This window comes from Homo sapiens, chromosome 4, assembly GCF_000001405.40.
Source record: "Homo sapiens chromosome 4, GRCh38.p14 Primary Assembly".
Taxonomy (NCBI): domain Eukaryota; kingdom Metazoa; phylum Chordata; class Mammalia; order Primates; family Hominidae; genus Homo; species Homo sapiens.
In genome coordinates, this window is record NC_000004.12 from 179,559,678 (window position 1) to 179,567,215 (window position 7,538).

Sequence of the window (7,538 nt, forward strand, 5' to 3'; positions counted from 1 at the left end):
AACCAACTATAATTTGTAGAACACTGGAGAGGACAATACAAAGACCAAAGAAACAAATTACCATTTTAATAAATTACTCTGTAACCATTTTAGCTTCATAAACTTTTTGAAGTAGATGTTATCTGGATATACATTTAATACAAAATGGGCATGATTAATAGAGAAATTTCAAATTTTAATTCACACACCAGTCAGCAGGAAGTCCTTCAAAAAAATTCAGGATATAAACTGGAACATTTTGAACATACAGTCTCCTCCACACCCTTATTTAGGAGTGACAGCATTTTTAATATTATGTGCTGATTTCATATAAAACACTATAACACTATAGTATGCCCAGTCAACCAGAAACTAAATAAAAATATATAAACTCATATTTTACACAACGATGAAAAACAAGGTTATCAAAGAAGTTGTGTTTTCTATAAAATAAGAAAACACATTTCCCTGACTAAAAACTCAGAAGCATTGATCTATTATTTTGTTGAGATTTGAAAGTCTCATTCTGGCTGTGATTAACACTCTCGCATATAACAAGCAACACCTTAAAAAGAAAGCCTATTTTCCTTTTTTTCTCCTTTTTCACAACATTGCTTTCTCTTAAGTACCACTTAAAATTCAAGTAGGGTTTTTTTTTATGACTAAGGTCACATTATAAAATAGCATATAAGATGAAAGTAATAGAGTGTAGCCAAAGAGGGGCGTGAAAATGAACACATCAGAAGCCAGTGTTGCTTGGGCGCAGTTTCAGAGGTGTTCATTTTCATTGGCTCTTTAAGGTAGGCTGACAGGAACAATCAGTTGCCTCATAGATCACTGACAGAGGCTCAGGAAGACAGATGACAGGCAGAATAGCAAACCCCACAGAAATTAAACAGAGTGCTGGAAGAACAATTAGCATCGTTGGGGATAAAAATGCCAAGGAGGAACGCTGCTAATTTTAGGGCACAGAACCAAACCTAAATGACATCTTCATCTCAATGGCTGTTAAGCCCACAAAATCAGTGCAGCAATTCTAACTACAACTCTAACAATGTGTTTTTATATAATTTCACATTAGGTGGTCCATGTCTGATCAGTTACAGGCAGATATACTCGACCGTTTCAAGATTTCTCATAAGTTTTATGTGGCAGAGATAATTTAAGACCTCATCTCATTCCCCGACAGGAAATTCAGCGTGCCAATAAGCAATTGGACTAACTCTTCTTGGTGAGTGGAGTCAGGAAGAGTTCCATTCCCTCCACCTACAGCCAGGCCTCGACAGCTGGAGTGTGGGGTTTGAAAGCTTTAGAAAGCTCCTCGAAGGATTAAACATGAAAAAACTTGGGGTTTAGCAACATGGAAAAAGGAACACTTTTGTGAAGAATGTACCCCATCCTGGCACAGAACTCCTCAACCCAAATGAGTTGGGGGTAAAGAGCATCAAGGCCATGAAGAGACATGGCTTAGATGCTGAAAAGAAGCTTGTTTTATCTTAGACATGCTACCTCATCAAAATTTGAGTGTTTGTCATATTTTCCCAGTTTAAAAAAAATTTTGAAAAAAAATCTCAAAACTACAGAAAAGTTGAAAGATAATATGATACAAAACCATATGATTATCAGGCTCACAATGTTTGCACCATAATTCAACTTTGTATTTATATACAATTAATAAAAACAGTAACATTTTGAAGAATGCCTATCTTGTGTATATAAATTTATACTGACAGACTCCACTCAACTCAGTATTTTAAAATATAATTACATTTCCAGATGTTTTAACATTTTTTCTTTATGATAATTTGTGCTATTATTTTCTAATCCAATTCCATACTTGAAGTAGAAACAAAAATACATATCTACTGGGAGCCTTAAAAAGAGGGCAGGGTAAACAGTAAAGTAGTCTCATAAAAATAATATAAAAATTATACAAAAATTAAATTGATATTATGCCATAATATGATATAAATATATAAAACAAAAGTTTTTAAATAACAGCATTTAATATACTACTGATTATTAGAAAAGGAAACAAAAGACACATCACTGAACCTCATTTCCTATAATATAAGAATAATCTAATATTCACATGTTTCAGCTAATGAATATTTTTATAAGAAAATATCTATTTCATCATTCTCTATACCACCATTTGCATGTAGATTTTTGCAAAGTGTAACTTGAATGTCCTCATCTCCACATTTCCAGTGATCTACCAGCATGTAATTGAAAGTGCTCAGCTTTTAGCCCCCATCTAAAGCTATAGCATATTCCACTATTTTATATGAATATTTTAATACACGAACATCTTCAAACAATACTTAACCATATTACATATACTCAACCGTATTACATGAAAATAAATTATCAGTTAATTACTGGATTAAGTTTGGAAATTCAGCTTGTCTAAAAGAAAAGTTTCTGCTTTGCCCAAAGAAGTAATTTGTATATTTTAATGATTGTGAATAAATATAATTTTATAGCTTTTAGCATGTGAGTGAAGTTTGAGCATCTTTGCTCAAGCATCAGCTATTCAAATTTTGTGCAAGTAAGAACAGCATGGCCCAAACTCTATCACAAACACTGATATGCCGTGGTCTAATTTAAAGGATCTTTTTTTAACCAAAACCTTGATTTGTCCAGATATCTATTCCCAGCATCCTTTAACCTCCTCTTATCAACTCTTATACAACTCACATCTGAGTAAATTTAAAAAGCTAATCCAGAGAACATCCTGTTACTTCAAGATATATATGTAGAAATGATGCTTTAGGACCTGAGCTGTCACGTGCTTTACTCACATTAATAGGTGCTTGTCACTTAGCAATAAAATAATTTCCCTACCTTGTCACTGAATGAGATAAACAACTTTGTTTTCCAGTTATGATTCTCCCAATTCATGGTCGGAAATGAATAGGTTAGAGGTAGAGTAAGCATAATCATCCATGCCCATAATTGGAAGTTGATATGGTTTGGATCTTTATCCCCACCCAGATCTCATGTTGAATTGTAATTCCCAGTGTTGGAGGTGGGGCTTGGTGGGAGGTGATTGGATAATGGGAGTGGTTTCTAATTAGTGCCATCCCCCCTTGGTGCTGTCTTGTGATTGAATTCTCACAAGATCTGATTGTTTAAAAGTGTGTAGTACTGGGCAAGGTGGCTCATGGCTGTAATCTCAGCACATTGGGAGGCTGAGGCAGGCAGATTGCCTGAGGTCAGGAATTCAAGACCAGCCTGGCTAACATAGTGAAAACTGGTCTCTATTAAAAGTATAAAAATTAGCCGGGCGTGATGGCGGGCTCTTGTAATTCCAGCTACTCGGGAGGCTGAGGCAGGAGAATCACTTGAACCCTGGAGGTGGAGGTTGCAGTGAGCTGAGGTTGTGCCATTGCACTCCAGCCTGGGAGACAGAGAGAGACTTCCCCTCAAACACACACACACAAAATGTGCAGCACCTCCCACTTCACATTCTCTTCCTTCTGCTCCAGCCATGTAGGACATGCTGGCTTCCCCTTCGCCTTCCACCATGATTGTCAGTTTCCTGAGGCCTCCCCCTCCATGCTTCCTGTTCAGCCCGTGGAACTCTGGGTCAATTAAACCTCTTATCTTTAGAAATTACCCAATCTCAGGTATTTGTTTATAGCAATGCAAGAACAGACTAATAGAGAAGTTCACAAAAGAAAGATGATTTTAAGGGCACAACAGATATTGGCAGAGGTGAGCATGAGAAGGGGACGTGCAGGATCCTCTATAAAGTAACCCAGGCAGATGGAATTGTCAGAAGAAAGAGAAACCAGAGAAGCTTTTGCTGAATGTGGAAGCAAACTGGGAGAATTAGGAAACAAAATTCATTTACGGTGAAGGAGTTTCAACATACAAATCAAAGATACCTGCTAGATTTTGATCCTGCAGGGACTTAAAGCTAAATAAAAACACTAAGCTCAAAATTTCCCTGGGGGAGAATATTCAAAGCTGAGGAGACAGATAAGACTAAGAAGAGCATTAGCTAGGCCAGAAAGATAGATGAAACTTGCTCACTCTGAAGATTCTTGGGAGAAAATTTCCACTGGAGGGGAAAGCTTTGTCAAATATACCACTGGTTTCCCACTCAAGGAACATGGGCAGGACTCTGAAGCCTCAGGAGGATGGGGGTACAGAGCGAGGCTCTACATTCCAAAACACCAAACTGCATCTCACACCAGAGCCAAAGGCGTGCCAATCAAAATTCCAGGAGGGCTACACCCAAGAAACAGAAACAAGCCAAACGCAGACTCACTCTAAACTACAGCCACAGCTCCTTGACCTGGTTCAATGCGGGGTTACATTTAGCTTTAATCACTGTTTCTGCCTGACAGAGCAGAGAATGTTTTCAGGCACAAAGGAACCTTCTCTGAGGCTGGAAATGTTCTTTATCTTAGTCTGGGGGGCAGTTACAAGTGGTAGTACATATACAAAATGTTTTCAAGTTAAAGATTGTGTGTACTTTCCTGCATTATGTTATATCTTAGTTAAAAAGTATAACAATAAATCCCGGCAATTTGGGAAACTGAGGCGGGTGGATCACTTGAAGGCGGGAGTTTGAGACCAGCCTGACCAACACGGAGAAACCCTGTCTCTATTAAAAATACAAGATTGTGCCTGCCTGCAGTCCCAGCTACTCATAAGGGCTGAGAAAGGAGAATTGCTTGAACCCTGGAGGTGGAGGTTGTGGTGAGCCGAGATGGCGCCATTACACTCCAGCCTATGCACCAAGAGTGAAACTCCATCCCCCTCCCAAAAAAGTATAATAATAATACCCATAATTATTAAGCACAAATCTGTCATCCTCAACAAAGCAAAATCCTTGAAAATAACCTATATCTAACCGCACCACTCCTCATCATTTCAACTTCTGCCTCACCTGCTCAGGCCTGAATCCCATGTTCAATAGTCTCTTGCTTTCCTTTTTATATAGTTCATGTCATTTCCTATGCATAAGTTACAAACTTAGGGCAGTTGTGATGCTCTGCTTTTTATATGAGACACCCCAATTAGTTTATTTCTCCCTAAGTGTCAATATTCTTAAAAGTAGTGTGCCTCAAGATCAATGACCTATAGCAATTAACCCTGGTGGCCATTTATTTTATGGATAGACTTGTTTACTTGAAATAGATTTTCAAGGCCAATTTTTTGGAATGCTTCCCTTTTGGAAAAATTGGAGCATTCTTTCTTGTCCCTTTTTTCTAAATTGTTCATTTGTACTATAATGATCTTAGATTGGTTCTGATTCTGATTCCCTCACTCTGCAATCTTATTTCAACACATTATTTCATTAGTTTGTATTTGAATACAATGATTTACTGAATTCATTTAATTTATCTATGAAATAAACTACAACTAGGGAATCTGCTTCTGTTTTTTGAATCATGCTTTCTCTTCTTGATTGGATTTCTCAGTTGCATTTTGCATTCTTTTTTCTCTTTCTTCCTCACCCTCCTCTTTCCTCTCTACTTCCTTTTCTCCTGTTCTTGCTTCTCCTTCTCCTCCTCCTTCCACCATCTTTTTCAATAAATTTGCATATATTTCCATTTATTCCTTTGTCCTTTAAGTTTGTCATGGGTGTAGACATTGTTTTCATTGAAAAATGGGGAAATTCTTCCTGATATTATTACCATTTTTTCTGGGACCAGGTTCTTCTAACCATTAACCCTCAGTTTCAGTTTTACTTTAACCCGTTTTTCTTTAGACCAAGTCTCTTGGGATCATAAAGTAGAGAACTGGCTTGAACTGGGAGCGATCCATTCACAAGCATTTGAGCATGCCTCTTTTCTGTCATCTCCTTGAATGCCTATGCCTAGGAGCCACTCCAGCAAGCCAGCGTTGTAGCTCATACCTTTCAGTCTTAGCTCATTTTCTTTTCTGTATGGTGCACTAGAATATGGGAATCCCTGAAATATGACAGGACCTGAAACATTGCAAGCCCTGGAGTAGCAGGAAGACAGATGAATAACAGCCCTTAATTATGGCAGGCCCTGATACAGCAAAATCCCTTGAAGCCATGTCTACAGAAACAGTGCTACTCTGTAGATGTTTTGATTATCCACAATTGTCCCCTCATCCCTCAGTTATAATTATAAAAAGGAAATAGAATAAATGTCAATATCATTTATGAATTAAAAACAGTGTAATGTTACCAATGAGAAGAGAGAAATTATATGAGGAATTCTTGTTGCAGCTTTGAACTAGTTCAACATATATTTTGGTTATTCAGAGGCCATGGCTGAAACAAATGTACCACTTGGTTGTTTTTGTCACAAGTGTTTTTGATGAGGCACCAGCAAAGTCTATTTTGTTGAGAATTTTTGCAAATGTGTTCATCAGACATATTGGCCTGTTGTTACCTTTTGTTGTTGCATCTTTGTCTGGTTTCAGCATCAGAGTAATACTGGCCTTGTTGAAAGGCTTTGGGAGTACTTCCTTCTCCTCAATTTTTTTGAACAGTCTTAGTGGAATTTCTATTAGCTACTCTTTTGATGTTTGGTAGAATTTAGTAATAAAGCCATTGGGTTCTCAGCTTTTGTTTGAGGAAAACCTTTTTTTTTTTTCTTATCTTGATATTGGTCAATTCAGTTTTTTATCTTGGTATTGTTCAATTCAGGTTTTGGGTTTCCTCATAGTTCAATTGTGGTAGGTGGTATATGTCTAGAAATTTACCCATTTCTTCTAGGTTTTCCAGTTTATTGGCATACAGTTGCTCATAATAGTCTCTAATGATCCTTTGAATTGTGGTATCAGTTGTAATGTCTCCTTTTTCATCTCTGGTTTGATTTGGGCCTTTTCTCTTTTATTCTCAGTCTGGCTAAAGGTTTATCAATTTTGTTTACCTTTTCAAAAAACTAACTTTCATTTTGACCTTTTTTTTTTTTTGGATAACAGAGTCTCGCTCTGTCGCCCAGGCTGGAGTGCAGTGGCCTCGGCTCACTGCACTGCAATCTCTGCCTCCCGGTTTCACGCCATTCTCCTGCCTCAGCCTCCCAAGTAGCTGGGACTTCAGGCACCCGCCACCATGCCCGGCTGATTTTTTGTATTTTTTTTAGTAGAGACGGGGTTTCACCATGTTAGCCAGGATGGTCTCGATCTCCTGACCTTGTGATCCACCCGCCTTGGCCTCTCAAAGTGCTGGAATTACAAGTGTGAGCCACCACGCCCGGCCAACCTTTTGTGTTTTTTTGAGTCTCAATTTTATTTATGTTCTGATCTTTATTTTTTTCTATTAATTTTGGGTTTCGCTTGCTCTTGCTTTTCTGGTTCTTTAGGATTCATCATTCTGTTGTTTATTTGAAGTTTTTCTACTTTTCTGATGTAGGCAGTTATTGCTATAAATTTCCCTCTTTGCACTGCTTTGGCTGTGCCCCATAGATTGCGATATGTTGTGTTTCCATTTTTATTTGTTTTAAGATGTATTTTAATTTTCTTCTTTTATTTGACCTTTGGTCAATGGTCATTCAGGAGCACATTGCTTAATTTCTATGTGTTGGTATAGTTTCTGAAATTGCTCATTTTTAATTTCTAGTTAT

The 7,538-nt window shown here is 37.6% G+C and overlaps 1 annotated feature.

Moving 5' to 3' along the window:
* Window positions 357-526: an enhancer, noted in NCBI's record as "experimental_76514 CRE fragment used in MPRA reporter constructs". NCBI's record gives its function as "activates a minimal promoter by MPRAs in K562 erythroleukemia cells, with activity observed for both the introgressed and non-introgressed 4:180481272 variant alleles {active_cell/tissue: K562}" and the evidence as "EXISTENCE:reporter gene assay evidence [ECO:0000049][PMID:34662402]".